General features: G+C 46.5%; 1 protein-coding gene and 1 non-coding gene across 2 annotated transcripts in view; one reads left to right on the top strand and one right to left on the bottom strand.

Moving 5' to 3' along the window:
* GPHN (gephyrin) overlaps positions 1–17690 on the bottom strand; it is a 1227209-nt gene that overhangs the window by 288240 nt on the left and 921279 nt on the right. The gene's annotated exons all lie outside the window — the stretch shown is intronic.
* On the top strand, positions 5186–5261 carry MIR5694 (microRNA 5694). Its single transcript, NR_049879.1, has one exon. It is a non-coding gene; the product is annotated as a microRNA 5694 (primary transcript).

Genomic DNA, 17690 nt, shown 5'->3' with positions numbered 1-17690 from the left:
TGTGAGAAATAAATTTCTGTTGTTTATAAACCACCTAGTTTGTGGTATTTCATTAAAGCAGTGTAAACAGACTAAGACACTCCCCATATGGACTTCCTTATCTAATTTAGGGGCCAGCCAGGCAGTAAATATTTTAGGCTCTGTAGTCCCTGTGTGACTACCCAACCCTGCCACTGCAGCGTAAAAGCAGCCATAGAGAGCCTACAAACAAATGGACGTGGCTGTGATCCAAAAAAAAAAACTTTCTTTTACAAAGACAGGCAGCAGGCTGCAGCTGGTAGTTCGCCAACCCCTGGTCTAGTTGATCTTTTTGGATCTGAGCTTAGGATCCTCATTTCTCCCTATTAAATATAACCCTGTTAGCTTCAGCCCACCTTTCAAGTCAGCGGCATATTTTTGAATCCTGATTCTGTCACCCAGCATAGTGGCTCTCCCTCCCTGCTCTGCGCCATGTCACGTTGAATGGGCTTCAGTGTCCTAATGGCTCATCAGAAGGGTAGGTGGTGACTGTGCTGCCCCTCCTGGGAAAGGACATTCTGGGGAGAAGCCAGGACTGCAGTGGCTGGCGTGCTTGGCAGGACACCCTTCTAACTACCAGGAGCACAGCCTCTGCTGACCCGGAGGTCAGCACCTCATCACTCTGTTTCTCTGATTTTGGTTTCATGGAATGCATCTGGCTCAGGGGCAGGGCAGGAGTAATTTGGAGGCTGTTGGCTTCCCTGAAATATTCCTTTATTCAACACTCATAGTTATTCAATGAGATGAACTTTGTGTCCAGCTATTTACTGATCTCCTAACAATCTCTGGGGGCACTCTTCTTGAGTTTAGAGCCATGGAATTCTGCTCTTGGGGCAGGTGGACCTAAGCAATCATCAAGTCTGGTACTGTTTATTTTACAGATGAGAAAACTGAAGCCCAAGAGGGGAGCAATTTGCCCAAAGGCGCCGAGTGCATCAGGGAAAAAGCCAAGCTAAAACTGGTCCTGCCTCTTCTTTTTCACATCCTCCCAGAGGATCTGCCTCCCATGAGAGCTGGGAGAGTTTGTATATTCCAGACCCTCTATCTGGGCCTCCCATCTTGCCATTAAAATGAACAAAAGATCTGGTTTTCCTGGGAAGCCCTATTTTTTGAACTGTTTCTTACAGGCTAGACTCCAAAGACAAAGGACTTGACATTAGCCACAAGCAAACTGTGAAGTACATGAGCTGCTGTGTGAATTGCCTCCCTTAGGCTGAGCAGGGAGGCTCATGCCTCTAATGCCAGCACCTTGGGAGGCCAAGGACGATGGATCACTTGAGTTCAGGAGTTCAAGACCAGTCTGGGCAACATGGCAAAATCCCATCTCTACAAAAAAAATACAAAAATTAGCCAGGTGTAGTGGCACTCATCTGTAGTACCAGCTACTTAGGAGGACTGAGGTGGGAGGATCATTTGAGCCTGGAAGTCAAGGCTGCAGTGAGCTATGATCATGTCACTGCACTCCAGCCTGGGTGACAGAGCAAGACCCTATCTCAAAAAAAAAAAAAAAAAAAAAAAAAGAATTGCCTCTCTTAAACCAGGTTGAGGCTGTTTCTTGGGAATTATCATTTCTCTCTGCATGTTTTTTCCTAATACCGCTTCTGAACCAAATGTGTGCTTTTTTACTGACACCAAATATGTGTCAGTTTTCCACATCAATTCTCCAATTCTCCAACACGAACTGGGTGTCCCCCAGTTCAGTTCCATTCTGACACTATCTACCTGGAGTTAGTATCAGATTCCACAAGTTAAGGGCTCAGTCCCACAAGACTACCACCACTTCAGATGCCAGCTGTAATGGGTCCCCAGGACACCCACACTTTTGCCTGGCTGACTACAAATTTAGGTGTTCCCACGACCCTCTTGTCAGGTTTGATAATTTGTAGAAGACAACTCAAGAAATTGCTCTACTTATGATCACTGCTTCATTATAGAGGATACAAGTCAGGACAGCCAAGGAGGGATGCCAAGGGCAAGACATGCGTTCAGCAACCCAGAGGTTCTTGGAAACTCATTGTTCAAGAATTTGTGTAACTTGGCCAGGCATGGTAGCTCATGCCTGTAATCCCAGCACTTTGGGAGGCCGAGGCGGGCAGATCACTTGAGGTCAGGAGTTCGAGAGAAACTTGGCCAACATGGTGGAATCCCCATCTCTACTAAAAATACACACATTAGCCAGGCGTGGTGGCACCTGCCTGTAGTCCCAGCTACTCAGGAGGCTGAGGCAGGAGAATCACTTGAACCCAGGAGGCAGAGGTTGCAGTGAGCCAAGATTTTGCCACTGCACTCCAACCTGGGTGACAGAGCGATACTCTGTCACACACACACAAAAAAGAGTTTGTGTAATTCAGTCTCTAGCCCGGCTTCCCTCCCTGGAGGTCAGGACAGAGGACTGAAAGTTCCCACCTTCTAATCACGTATTTGGTCTTTCTGGTGGCCAGCCCCCATCTTGATGCTATCTAGGGGTTCTATCCTGAGTTACCTCATTAGCATAAACTCAGGTGTGTAAGGAAGGGCCTTATTATGAATAACAAAAGACATTCCTATCACTCAGGAAATTCCAAGGGTCTTATGAGCTCTGAGTCAGAAGTCAAGAACAAAGTCCCAACATATATTTTTCCTCTATCATACTATATGGTTCCTAAATTGGCTGGGATGATTATAGCTCAGAGGCTGAAAAACATGCTCTGAATGCATACTTCATCACACTTACCAGAAAGGGGCCACTCTCCTCCACTGAAAAGCAAGAATGCTCCTTTCTGTGAACTCCAAAAATCTGAGCAGGTCTCAGTTAATTTAGAAAGTTTATTTTGCCAATAAACCTTAGCAAAAAGTTGAGGATGCATGCCCATGACACAGCCTCAGGAGGTCCTGACAACATATGCTCAAGGTGGTCGGGGCACAGCTTGGTTTTATACATTTTAGGGAGACATAAGACATCAATACATATGTGTAAGATGTACATTATTTCAGTCCGGAAAGCTGGGACAACTCAAGATGAAGGGGAAGTGGGGAGTGGGCTTCCAGATCATAGGTGGATAAGAGACAAATGGTTGCATTGTTTTGAGTTTCTGATTAGCCTCTCCAAAGAAGGCAATCAGATATACACTTATCTCAGTGAGCAGAGGGGTGACTCTGAATAGAATGGGAGGGGGATTTGCCCTGAGCAGTTCCCAGCTTGACTTTTCCCTTTAGCTTAGTGATTTAGGGGCCCCAAGATTTATTTTCCTTTCACATTTCTCTGTACCTGTTTCCTCATCCCATCCAGGACGAGAGGCTTAACTGGGGACATGCCATTCCTGCATCTATTTTTTTCTTTTTATTTTTTAGAGATGTTATCTCACTATGTTGCCCAGGCTGGAGTGCAGTGGCTATTCACAGGCATGATCATAGCCTTGAACCCCTGGCCTCCAGAAATCCTCCCATCTCAGCCTCCTGAGTACCTGGGACTGGAGGTGTGCACCACTGTGTCTGGTACCTACATTTTTATTTCTCTTTTCTTTCTTTCTTTTTTTTTTTCCTAAATGTCTATCCTATGCCTGTCCCTCCACTGTACTTTGGAATGCATCCCTCCTTCTGACTGTACAGGACTACCTGTCATTCCCAGAACACTGGCCCTCCTACCCTTTGTGCCTTGCCATCGGCTTGAAATGCCTTCTTTCCTTTCTTTTCCTGTCAAAATTGCAGGTGATTAAAAAGGTTGTGGGGCAAACATACTTTGTGGTAGTGGTAGGTGTTCTGCAACATGGCACTCTTAATTTACACTTGTTTCTACTTCTTAGCTGGAAGAAAAGTCTTATGCAGTCATAAAACAAATAGATTTGTAATTTGGGGGTCACAATGTACAGAACTCATTTTTTTTTTCTTTCTTTCTTTTGAGACAGAGTCTGGCTCTGTTGCCCAGGCTGGAGTGCAGTGGCGCAGTCATAGCTCAGTGTATCCTCTGCCTCCTGGGCTCAAGCAATCCTCCCACCTCAGCCTCCCAAGTAGCTGGGACTACAGGCATGTGCCACCATGCCTGGATCATTTCTGTATTTTTTGCAGAGACAGGGTTTTACCATTGTTGCCCAGACTGGTCTTGAGCCCTTGGGCTCAAGCAATCCTCCTGCCTCAGCCTCCCAAACTGCTGGGATTACAGGGATGAGCCACCTCACCCAGCCCAGAACTCATTTAATATAACGTCGTTGGCTTTATTACATTTCTGACATTCCTCACACACAACAAAATCTTCCCTTTGGGAGGCTGGAAGGATACACCTGCCTGTTTTCCCTAAGGTCACATGTTCGTCCTTCCACACCCTTCACAGGGTATCCAGGCAGAATTAAGCTGTGTCTTCCCACAGCACTTGTACTCAGCTCTGACTGCTTGTTTACAAGGCTGTTTGCCTCTGAAGGCTGCAGGTGTCCTGTTGTTTACCTTTGCTGTCCCTGAACAGTATCTGACACGTCATGTATGCTCACTGAATGCTTGGTCCTGGTCTACAGGAGAGAGAGGTCAACCTAATTAGACAAGAACCAGGACAGGACACAGAGGAAAACTGGTTGTGGAGGCAGGGACGAGTGCTCCTTGGTAGTCACCTTCTTTGGAAGGAGAAGCTGTTCCTTATCTTAGGCCTGCTTCTCGTTCACTCTGCCTTCTGGACCGCTAGGTAGAAGTACACACACACACAATTTTTCTATTAATAGATAAAACTCAAGACAATAGCTCCAAAAATAACCTCTTCTTCAAGGTCAGTGGAAGGCAGTAGAAACACCATTCTGGCCAACCCACTGAACCAACGGGTGCACGTAGGCTCCCAGGTGCAAGGAAGCAATGTGTACCCCTTGGTTCAGTGGGTTGACCTCCTAACCCTCAAGGATGGGGTGCTGCAGAGTGTCAGCAGGGCCACATCATGGCTTTCATGGCGCTTAGGCACTTATGCCTCTGTGGGCCCATTCTTCCATAAAAATATATTAAAAATTATATTTTGTGACTACATTGGCATAAAGACAAATTGAATCCAAACTTGATTCATTTGTATGTATTCATTACTATTATAGTCATCTTCTTCTAATTTTAAAAGAAATTAAAATTAAAACATTTTCGTGGTCCCCTAAAAGTAGAGGGCCTATATTAGTCTGGAATTTCCAGAGAGACAGAACCAATAGGAAGGAGATAGATATTTATAGCCAACTGCAGATCATGGGACTGTCTCAGCCCCATATGTATCTGAAGGCTGAGAAGTCCCATGATCCGCACTTGGCAAGCTGGAGACTCAGGAGAGCCAGTGCTGTGAGTTCCAGTCCGAGAACGAAGGCAGGAGAAGGCTGACGTCCCGCTCAAAGGACAGTCAGGTAGAGAGAGCCTGATTTTTCCCTTACTCCACTTTTTCGGTTCTATTCAGGCCTCACCTCCAACAGATTGGATGAGGCCCGCCCACCATGGAGAGGGCAGTCTGCTTCACTCAGTCTATTGATTCAAATAGTAATCCCAGCCAGAAACACCCTCACGGGATACCCCAAATAATGTTGAGCCAAGCACCTGGGAGGTCAAGTTGACACATAAAATTAACCACCACAGGGCCCTGTGTCTACTGAGCCCATTGGAGAAGTCGGCCTGAGTTTGAGGGAGTAGCTGACATAGGGTCCTTTTCTTGGAGTTCCCCTTTGTAAGTGACTGCCCACACAGTGGTTCACTGGGCTCACTGCAAAAGGTCTTGAGCTTGGAGACCAGTGCCTGGTGCATTAAGGAAGACTGCCAGGGCCTTGGAGGACTGAATTTACCTCTGCTGTCTGTCACAAATCATCTTCATTCCTGACCAAATGTCTCTGGCCTATGCTGAGCCCCCAGGAAATGACATTTGCCTCACAGGACCTGGAGGATCAGAGCATCCTCTAAGCCAGAGAAGCACGAACTTGGACCCCAAGTTGGTTAGCTTGATCTACAGCAGCAGCCACAGCTGGGAAATCTCTTTTCAGTTGAATTTTTCTTTTAAAAACGTTCATCTAAATGTTGCATTCTACTCCATAGTATATTCATATTTCTCCCCAAAAGATTTAAGGAAAAGTTGATGCTCCGTTTTTATCCCATGGCTTGACTATTCCTGGAATATTGGCCCTCTGATTGGAGAAAAGTGGGCTTAGAGACAAGCCGAGCTCTGAGGCCCTTTGTCAGGGATTAATGACACTACAAGAGTTAGGATCAATATTTAGCCTTCTTTCCCTGCCTTCTCTTGCTCCTGCCCATTTGCCAGATGGAGGAAGTAGGCCTTAGGGAAGGGAGCCCATTTGCTCAGTGTGTCAAGGCTGGAGGTGAAATAGAATCAGGGCAGCATCAGGGCAAACTGGGAGTGTCTCTTTTTTTTTTTCACTCTGAGACAGGAAAAACCACTTTGTCGCCCAGGCAGTGGCACGATCTCAGCTCACTGCAACCTTTGGCTCCCAGGTTTAAGTGATTCTCGTGCCTCAGCCACCCAAGTAGCTGAGACTACAGACATGCACAACCATGCCCAGCTGATTTTTGTATTTTCAGTAGAGATGGGTTTTCACCCTGTTGGCCAGGCTGGTCTCAAACTCCTGGCTTCAAGTGATCTGGCCACCTCGGGTGCCGGGATTACAGGTGTGAGCCACGCGCCCAGTCCGGAGTGGCTTTTATGCCCTGGCCATGATCCAGCAGTGGATCAAGGTGAGTGGGGCAGAAATTTTTTTTTCGGTGGGGGAGACAGTAATTTTACAGCTAACAGTTTCAGTGTAAATCCTGACCACCTGTATATTCGAGCCATAGACCACAGTCTGCAGACCTAAGGCACATTTCATGTAACTTTACATCCGTATCAAGGAGGTTCGATCTTTGGGAAAATAAATATTTACCCAGCTTCAAAGAAGTCAGACTTCCTGCCATTTATTTTTAGTTCTTTGGGTATGTGCAGATCATCACCAACACAATAAAGAAAATGCAGATGCTTCTCATAATTACCCAGCTAAGGCTGGGAGTGGTAACTCACGCCTGTAATCCCAGCACTTTGGGAGGCTGAGGCAGGTGGATCACTTGAGGCCAGGAGTTCAAGACCAGCCTGGCCAACATGGTGAAACCCTGTCTCTACCAAAAATACGAAAATTAGCTGGGGCTGGCACACACCTGTGGTCCCAGCTACTCAGGAGGCTGAGGTAGGAGGATAGGTTGAGCCTAGGAAGTTGAGGCTGCAGCAAGCCGAGATCACGCCACTGCACCCCAGCCTGGGTGGACAGAGTGAGACGCTGTTTCAAAACAAAAGAAAAGAAAAAAGAAAAGAGAGAAGAGAAGAGAAGAAAGGACATTTTAACACTAAAAGCATAAAGAACAAAACCTCAAAATCTCAAAATGGAACAAATTTGGATTTAAGAAAAATCTACTGCATTGTGTATGTTGTTTTTCTATATTGCGCTAAACTGGAGAAAACATCACTGTAGACAGGTACTGCTCTGAGGTCTGGAGTTTAGAAACTATTGAAACTTTTGTGAGTAATTCTGATGCAAAAAAGAAAGAAGAAAGAAAGAAAGAAAGAAAGAAAGAAAGAAAGAAAGAAAGAAAGAAAGAAAGAAAGAAACTATTGAATTTCATGGAACTCTTAGGTCCATTTTCAAGCTCTAATATGCTAGGATGAATCTTTCAACCTTGCACCTTTTCCCCAAATTGTCAGTCTGTAAATTGTCATTAGCCCAGTGCTTATCCATTCTTCCCTCCTTCTGCAGCTGAGAGAAGAGAAGTGTCTACTGCACTAAAGAAAATCTTCCTTCTAGAGGACACATACTGATGAAAACCTACAACTACTACAAGAGGAAAATGAGCCCATTCCTGATACTATTCTAAACACCTTACATATTTAGCAATTAAAAAGCTAGCTCACTGAAGCTTCACAACAACCTATGAGCTAGGCACAAGCATTATCCCCATTTCACAGACGGGGACACTGAGGCACAGAGACAAAATAATGAAGTCACAAAACAATATCCAGTGTGCTTTGGACTTTCCTAGCTCTGCAGAGGCCAGCCTGAAGTCTGTGTGTGTGCTGGCTTGTGACATGTAGACTAAGGCTCATGGTCCCACATCCTATCATTTCCCACTTGCTTTAGGAACTGATGCCTGTTGCCTGTGCCCTCATGGATGGATGGTCTCCTTATATGTGCAAGAACAGTAGCACTAGCTGCCGTGTATCTTGACCCTCTGGGTGTGAGAATCCAAAACTTCATAATCTAGCTTTTTTTTTTTTTTTTTTTTTTGAGACGGAGTCTCACTCTGTTGCCTAGGCTAGAGTGCAGTGGCACCATCTCAGCTCACTGTAACCTCCGCTCCCTGGGTTCAAGCAATTCTCCTGCCTCAGCCTCCCGAGTAGCTGAGATTACAGGTGTATGCTACCACGCCTGGCTACTTTTTTAATTTTTAGTAGAGATGGGGTTTCGCCATGTTGGCCAGACTGGTCTCGAACTCCTGACTTCAAGTGATCCACCCACCTCGACCTCCCAAAGTGCTGGGATTACAGGCGTGAGCCACCGCACCCAGCCATAATCTTGCTTTATACTCACCAGAGTCCTCTAGGAAGGGGGTTATTATTCCTGTTTCACAGGTGATATAACTGTAGTTTAGAGAGGTGACCTGCCCAAGGTCACATAGCTGGCTAGGATTTGAACTGAGATCTTCCTGACTCCAAAGCTCCTACCTCTAACCCCATAAAGAAAGGAAGGATTGTGTCCCATTTTGCAGTCAGAAATCTACAATTCTCAGAGAAGGGAACTGAGAAGCCCACACCAGCTGGGAGCTGAAACCAGCATCAGGCTCAAATCTCCCTGCTTGCCAGGTTCCTGGTCCAGCCCCTGATCACCCCACCTTCTAGACACTGACCCAAGCCAGGGCACTGGAAAAGACATTTTGAGAAAAGGAGGGAGGCTCAGGGGAGATTAGGGATGAGACAAAACATCTTGGGGCCAGAGCATACTGTCCTGGGAGCTTTGCCAACATGGCTTGAAGGACCTTGGGGAGATGATTGGGAGGGGGGTGACAGCTGGGGAGCACGGACACTAGACTGGGAGCCCTTTGTCCCAGGAGCAGACCGCCCCAAATACCAAACTGGCTCCTTGGTACTATCTCTCAGCCCTCTTGACTCAGTGGGCTCAACCACAGTTTAACCACATATAAAAATGAGGTCTAATAGGCTGATAGGAAAGGCACATAAATAATGACTTTCTTGACTTTGGAATCAGGACAAGCCTAAAGACCAGCAAAACCTCCTCCCAACCCCCCTTCTTTGTCCACCTGCCTCCCACCAGTCTCCTCCACCGTGGTAAATGGTACCACCCGTCTTTGGGTTGCTCAAGCTAGAAATCTGGGATTCAGGCCTGTTTCCTCTTCCTCACTCCAGCCCATCAGTAAGTCCTCTAGGTACAACCTCCCAAATACATCTCATTTCCTCCCACCTCTCTCTCCCCCCTCCTCCAGCAAGTCCCAGCCAGCATCCTCTTCCCCCTGGATGCTAGAGAGGCTCCTGTCTGCTCTCCTTCCTCCCACGGCTGCCCGCACAGCCTATTCTCAGACGTACAGCCGCCGTGAGGTTTGGACATTGAAATCAGACCGTGTCACTTGCTTAGAGCCCTCCAATCACTTCCCATTAGACTCAGACAAAAATGGAAATCTCCTAACTTGGTCTGCCTAATCTGGCCGCTGCCCACCCCTCCAACCAGGCTCAGCTCAGCCTTCCCTGACCATCTTATCTGAAGCAGAAGCCCACTTATTTCCCATCGCTGTACCTGTGTATTTCCTTCTGCGTACTCACTACAATTTCACATCATTTTGTGACTTTGCTCACTTGTTTATTTTTTGCCTCCCCACCATGGACTGCAAGTTCCACGAAGGCAGGATCATGTCTGTCTGTTCATGATTGTAGCTTCCCAGCACAGCATTTCACACATAGGTAGGCACTCAAGAAGTACTTTGGGATTAAAGATGAAAGAAAGGTCTATTATATAAGTCACAACAGGATGCCAGCCATCTGCCAGGTGCCTTTTTATTGTTGTTGTTTGTTTGTTTTTTTGAGACAGGGTCTGGCTGCATCACCTAGGCTGGAGTGCAGTGGTGCAATCATGGCTCGCTGCAGCCTTGGCCTCTGGGTTCAAGTGATTCTCCCACCTCAACCTCCCATGTAGCTGGGACTACAGGTGTGTGCCACCAAGCCTGGCTAATATTTTTAATTTTTTGTAGAGATGGGGTCTCACTCTGTTGCCTAGGCTGGTCTCAAATTCCTGGGCTCATGTGATCCTCCCATCTCAGCCTCCCAAAGTGCTGGGATGACAAGCGTGAGCCACAGCGCCTGGCCTGCCTGGTGTCTTCTCTGCCATTTCTCTCCTCTCCTCTCTCCCTCCAGAGGGCAGCTCACTGCACAGAGGTCTGGGAACCTGCTCTCTGGGCTGGATTCTGACCCTATGGGAGGAACTTGTGGAAGGACTGGGCGTGGCAGTGAGATTATCGGGTGCCAGATGGAGGCTGGGAGCAGACTAACAGTTCCCTAATGCCCACTCTGGTGTCCTGAAGAAACTCTCCCCTGCCTGGTCTCCATATGGAAAGGGGCTCCCTCGGCTGAACCATGCAAGGCTGCAGAAGACTGGGTACCACCTAGAGGGGGCAGCTGTGAGAGAGCCAGGAAGGGGTGAGAGCTGGTATTGCAGGGCCAGGGAACAGATGTGCTAGTTTGAAAGGAGGACTTTGTATTCTCCCTTACGGCTGCAGAAAGCAACGAATAAAAGCTTGATATGTTGCTGGGCTAGGCCTGGCTACCCCAATATCCCCCAGCTACTCCATGGTATAGAGTGAACTCTCCCCTCCCACACAGGCGCCTACTGGCCTGGCATCCTGGGCATTTGCCCAGGCTTCTTGGAGGAGGTTGGCCAACCTTGGCTGGACAGTAGTATCCTGTGACATTCACAGATACTGGCAAGAAGCCCCAAGACTCCAGGCAAGAATGGATCAGTAGTTTCCAGTAAAGAGGCTTCTGTGGGAAGTAGAGCTACGGTGGCATTTCTGTGCCTCGGGAATCAGCCCTAAGGGAAGTAAGCCCTCTGGGAGCCAGAGAAGCTCACAATTGCTTTAGCAACACATCCCATCAGACCTGCCTTGCCTCCCCATCCTCAAAAGCAAATACTTAACCATCCGCAGTCTCCAGTAGACTGCCTGCTAAGCTCTTTTTCCCCCTTATTTGATGCAAAAATGTGTGGTCAGTGAACTGTCCTAAGGACAGGACAACACCTCCACCCGCTGGCACCACCAATGGACGTGGCCAAGGACACAGCGGGGTGATGCTTATGGGATGGGAGGCCTTGGGCAGAGTTGAAGGCAGAAAGGTCCTGTTAGTCACCCAGGGACTGGGAGTGCAAGACAGAGAAAGGGAAGGAGTGACATCCAGAAAAGGATGACTTGAGGCAAGCGTTCTGGAGATTCTTTGTAGGTGCTCTGTTATTGCTTCCAGTGACCTCCCTGGGACTTTGATAAATAAAAGAAAACTTGTATGACCATAATGAGTTTTTAAACAAAGCACAGTGTTACAACACTCCAATGACTTTAGCCGCCATACCCTGTTGTGGCCACTGCCCTGTGGGCATCTCAGACAGGGGCTGTTGCTGCCTGCTATGGTTCGAATGTCCCCTCCAAAATTCATGTTGAAACTTAATCCCCAATGTGGCAGTATTGAGAGGAGGGGCTTTTAAAAGGTGATTGGATCATGAGAGCTCTGCCCTCATGAATGGGTTAATCCATTCATAGATTAATGGGTTAACGGACTAACCGGCTATCATGGGAGTGGAGCTGGTAGCTTTATAAGAAGAGGAAAAGGCTGGGCGTGATGGCTCAGGCTTGTAATCCCAGCATTTTGGGATGCTGAGGCAGGTGGATCACCTGAGGTCAGGAGTTTGAGACCAGCCTGGCCAACTTGGTGAAACCCCATCTCTACTAAAAATGCAAAAATTAGCCAGGCATGGTGGCGGGTGCCTATAATCCCAGCTACTTAGGAGGCTGAGGCAGAAGAATTGCTTGAACCCAGGAGGAGGAGGCTGCAGTGAGCCGAAATGGCACTATTGCACTCCAGCCTGGGTGACAGAGTGAGACTCCATCTCAAAAAAAAAAAAAAGAGAGAGAGAAGAGGAAGAGAGACCTGAGCTAGCACATTAGCATGCTCACCCCCTCAGCATGTGATGCCCTGCACCACCTCAGGACTCTGCAGAGAGTTCCCACCAGCAAGAAGGCCCTCACCAGATGCACCCCCTGGACCTTGGACTTCTCAACTCAATAACAGTACAAAATAAATCCCTTTTCTTTATAAATTACCCCGTTTCAGATATTCTGTTATAAGCAACAAAACACGGACCAAGACACTGCCTGTAGGGTTTGGTGTTCTCTCTGCTGTCATCATTATTCCTTCTTCCCACCTCTATGCATGAACAGGTCTGTTACCTGAAACATTCTTTAGTCCTCCAAATGTTCTCATGGTCTGTGGTTTGCTTAGAGTCTAGTGGCTCTCGAACTTTAGTGTGGTTTCATAAACTGACCTTCTTGATAAAATGAATACTCCCAGGCTCCCATCAGCGATTCTTCTCTGATATAGACAGTCCTTCAGCCCCATTTTAAGAAACACTGATTTAGAAATCACTGTGCAAGTGGTTAGTTTCTGTTTTTTCTATTTGAATAATACTGCAGCAAACACTTTGTAGAAATGACTTTGTTCTAACTGTTTTCTTTAGCTACTTCCTTAGAATTAGGATTATGGAATCAAAGGATAGGAACTGTTTTGTAGGTTTTGCCAAATTAGCATCCAGGGAATTTGAACAATCAAACATTGTTTTATCATTTATATTAATTTTTATAACATTATAAAATTCACTGAAATTGCAAATTCAAGATACATGGTGGGGCTGCCTATTTTTCTATGTGAAGTATTGTGTGTAAACTCTCTGCTCATTTCCTTTGAGTACTTATCAAAAAGGAGCAGGATACTGGCCTTTTATAGTTAGATCTGTTCTTTAGCTATTTTGGATAGAAAGCTTAATTTGCCACATATATTTCTCCCCCATCTGTGGCTTTCATTTTTGTGTTTGCTTTATTACATTCTGTGGCACAAAAGGCTTTTAAAAACACATTTAGATCCGTCCATCCTGTCTCTGATATCTAATTTCATCAATAGTCAAAATGTTTTCTTCTCATCACAGTGGAAACACATTTGCTTTCCCATTTTCTCTGGCTTTTTATGACCCACTTAGACGATATTTGTTAAACAGTGATTCTTTCTTGTAGCATTGTGTTGATGCTTATTCATCTTATATCAAGTCTTTAAATAGCTTGAATTTGTTTCTGTAGAGTATGTCTCTTCTATTACCCTGGCCAACTTTTCTTGTCTTTACCCCAGTGAAATATAGTGATGACTGCTTTTTTAAGTTTACCCTCCTCCTTCTTTTTCCCCCACAAAAATTTTTTTGATATTTTGTCCATTCATACTCCCGATGAGTTTTAATGGGTTTGTTGTTGTTGTTGTTGTTGAATTATAGGATGCGTCTCATTTGTCTTTATATTCCATTTTAGTTTTAACTATTTAGACTTCACAATTAGGATCAAAGTACATCTCTGTATTCTTTCACGTTTTCCTCTATACCTCCAACTTTAAAATTTTCTTTGAAAAAAAAATCATTTATTCCAAGTTAAATTAATTCTGAACCACTAAATTTTTGTGTGTGAATAAGCCATCTTTCTCCCTCCCTTTTCTCTTCTCTCTGTCCCACTCTTACTCTCATTCTCATGCTCACTAAAATACAAGTATTTTGACACCAAACCATGTAGCTACCATGGTATATACTTCCACCCTCCAGGCCCAGCACCTGTTTCTGGGCATCTGCCAGCAGCCATCCATCAGCTCTGAGGATACCTCTGTGTGCCTTGTTCCCTTTTTCTGGCCCTCCTTGTAAGATGGGCATCAACTTCCTGGGTTGGGACATGGCTGGTTAAGGAAGAGTCAGAATGTTCTAAAAGTGCCCTCCCTATTTATTGAACAAAACAGAAAAACAGAGAGGACTACGTTGAATGGTGTCTCCTTAACATTCAAGCTCAACAAGAAGCTCAGAATGTGACCTTATGTGGAAACAGGGTCTCTGCAGACATAATTACTTAAAATGAGGTCATACCTAGATGAGGGTGGGCCCTAAATCAAATGACTGGGAACTTTATAAAAGAGAAAACAAAGACACACAGACAGGGAAAACACCACATGCGACCACCAAAACAGAGATTGGAGTGATGCCCCTACAAACCCAGGACCACCCAGGTTGCCGGCAACCACCATAAGGCAGCAGAGAAGCCCGAGATTCTCCCTCAGAGCTTCCAGAAAGAACCAACTCTGCCAACACCTTGGTTTCGGACTTCTGTCCTCCTGAACATGAGAGAATACATTTCTGTTTATTTCAGCCCCACAGTTTGTGGCAATTTGTCATGGCAGCCCTAGAACACCAGGCTCTTCACATAGTCTGTCCTGAGAGCTTGCCCGCTGCTGACTTTTAAAGGTACGATGCTCTAAAACACAGAAGAGAGGTGTCCTTGTAAACGTGTCTCAGAGCAGAGAATGAACAGTCCATTCTGGAAGGTAAATACTCAAGACAGGAGATATTTTTCTGTTTCCTGACCAACTGCAAGTCTCTCTTTGCAGAAGGCGAACTATTTATGGCACATTCCAGGTTCTAAGAACCAGGGCTCGTTCGCCAAGGAAGGCAGTGTGGTGTAATTCAAAGGCTTCAGAAGTTGGGCTCTGACCACCAGGGTCTAAATCTTGGTCCTGCCATTCTTTAGATGCCTAACTCTGGGCAGATCATTTAACCTCTTGGAGCTGGATTTCCCATCTGTAAGTGGAGACAATAATGATTTAGGGCCAACATATCTTAGGGAGTTGTTGCTGGGATCCGACGAGATAATTTATGAGCACACATTCTTTAAGCTGGAAAGCACTGGGCAGATGTTACCAATTCATAGTGGCTGCCTGTGGGGCAGGAGAGACACACTTCTCACTATATTCCATTTTGTTCTATGTGACATTTTCATGTACATATTGAAAAGAATATGTTAAAAAATTTAAGGGTAATCACTGTGAGCGCAACATGAACACATTAAATAAAGATGTTTGCTTTTTATCCTATTAAAAGATTTTAATATGCAAAATGAAGAAGAAAAAGTAGATAAAATTGTGCTCCAGTTCCAAGCTCACCCAAAGATGACATCTAGAGTATGGGCACTGACTGCCCCCTGCGGAAACCTCTGTTCCCTTCCCCCACCCCAGTTTCCATGTGGGAGCTTCTGGGACACAACCCAGCTCACATTTCCCCAACCTTTTTTGCCGCTGTTTTGGTCTGCTGCTGCTGCTGCTGCTGTTGTTGAGTTGGGGTCTCACTCTGTCACCCCAGCTGGAGTGCAATGGTGGCATCTCAGCTCACTGCAGCCTGGACCTCCTGGGCTCAAGCGATCCTCCCACCTCAGCCTCCAGAGTAGCTGGGACCACAGATGTGTGCCACAACACTGGGCTAATTTTTAAAATGTTTTGGGTAGGGATGGGGTCTCATAATGTTGCCCAGGCTGGTCTCAAACTCCTGGGCTCAAGCGATTCTCCTACTTTGGCCTCCCAAAATGCTGGGATTACACTAAACCGTTTTTTTTTTTTTTTTTTTTTTTTTTTTTTGAGACAGAGTCTCACTCTGTCACCCAGGCTGGAGTGCAGTGGCGCGATCTCGGCTCACTGCAACCTCCGCCTCCCAGGTTCAAGCAATTCTCCTGCCTCAGCCTGCCGAGTAGCTGGGATACAGGCAAGCGCCACCATGCCCAGCTAATTTTTGTATTTTTAGTAGAGATGGGGTTTCACTATGTTGGTCAGGCTGGTCTCGAACTCCTGACCTCGTGATCCACCCGCCTCGGCCTCCCAAAGTGCTGGGATTACAGGCGTGAGCCACCACGCCCAGCCTATGCTGAACCCTTTTTATCTGCTCTTGTTAGCCCAGATTTGGTGAACTAGAATTAGCTGTTCATGCCTGCCATGGATTTCCCATGGTTTGATTTGTCTTTCTGAAATCTAGAGAGAATAGGGACTCTCCTGCCAGGTTGTTGGGGCACCTATAGGATTGTATGTAAACACAAAGGCGTATTTGGGAAGCTGGTGCCCCGATCCCCAGCCCTGCACACTTTGAGGCTTTATGCTCATACCAAAGTCACAGCAGGAAGGGACTGCTTTGATCACAGAATCCTCAGGGGATCAGAATGGGACGTTAAGCTTTGTGGTCCACTTAATGAGGAGCTCTCTGCCCCTTACTGATGAGCAGGCCCTCCAAAGTCCTGAGGTCTCTGGGCCTTTCATCAAGTCAATGTCCTGGGGCAGCGCCTGATATTGCACCGGTCACTCACTGCCCAGCCCCTCCACCAAGACTCCACTCCACAGGCCCCGTTGCCACCTGCCTCCTCCAGATCTTATCCCCGTGATGCCATTGACACCAGTTGATGTGACACTCCACTCGGTCACCACTCTGCCAGTTGAGAAAGCACTCCTGCTTCTTCTTTCCTTAGGATGGAGGGCTTATAGCAAAGTCACGTGAGCCCACGTGGGAAGGCTCTTTCTGCTTTACCATACAGCCCTCCCCTTGAGAGCACCCAGGCATTCCAGGGGACCAGGCGTGGGTCCGGCACAGGCTTGCACAGGAACAAGAGCCACCTTGTCCCCTAGGCCTGGATCCTTCCTAACTTACAGTGGGTATTTTTCCTCCCTAGGCCCGTATGTTATTCCCTATAATCTACCCTTCCCAGCCTGACTCTGTATAGATGAACCTGAGTATACAGGGTTCAAGCTCTGTCCCAGGGAAATCTGGGTCCATGTCATCCAAGCTCTGTGGTTTTGTGGAGGGGACTGGAATGTGTGATTGTGGCCTGTCTCCATGTCCCATCGTACCCGTGCCTCAGCTCCAACCAAGGCATAGCCAGGTTCGGGCTCCTCTCGCAGGAGTTTTATCAGAGTGCTTGTGATTCCCTTGTGTGCCTTAATCATTAAGAGCAGCGACTTTGGAGTCAAAGACAAACCTGGGTACCATCTGCTCCACAGTTTATGAGCCACGTGATCTTGAGGAAGTTACTTAATCTCTTGGAATCTCTTGGAATCTGTTTCTTCATTTGTAAAATGAGGAAGGTAACAGAGCTCTTAAAGCTGTTACTTGTAGCGCTGTTGAAAGAATTAACTGAGATAATGTATCTAAGTACCAGCTTGGTGCTGGTACTGTATCTGGCATGCGGTAAAACCTTAAGGAATGTTAGTTTTCATCATTTTTGTTGTTGTTGCTGTTTATTTGTTTGTTTTGAAACACAGTCTTGCTCTGTCACCCAGGCTGGAGTGCAATGGCGCAATCTCAACTCACTGCAAACTTTGCCTCTCAGGTTCAAGCAATTCTCCTGCCTCAGCCTCCTGAGTAGCTGGGATTACAGGTGCCTGCTATCACACCTTGCCAATTTTTGTATTTTTAGTAGAGATGGGGTTTCACTATGTTGGCCAGGCTGGTCTCAAACTCCTGACCTCAAAAGATCCACCTGTGGCCATGAGCCACTTTAGGAGGCCGAGGTGGGCGAATCATGAGGTCAGGAGTTTGAGACCAGCCTGACCAACATGGTGA

Source organism: Homo sapiens, chromosome 14, assembly GCF_000001405.40.
Source record: "Homo sapiens chromosome 14, GRCh38.p14 Primary Assembly".
Lineage (NCBI taxonomy): Eukaryota > Metazoa > Chordata > Mammalia > Primates > Hominidae > Homo > Homo sapiens.
The sequence above is the reverse complement of the archived record's forward strand: the minus strand, read 5'-3'. Positions and strand labels throughout refer to the sequence as shown.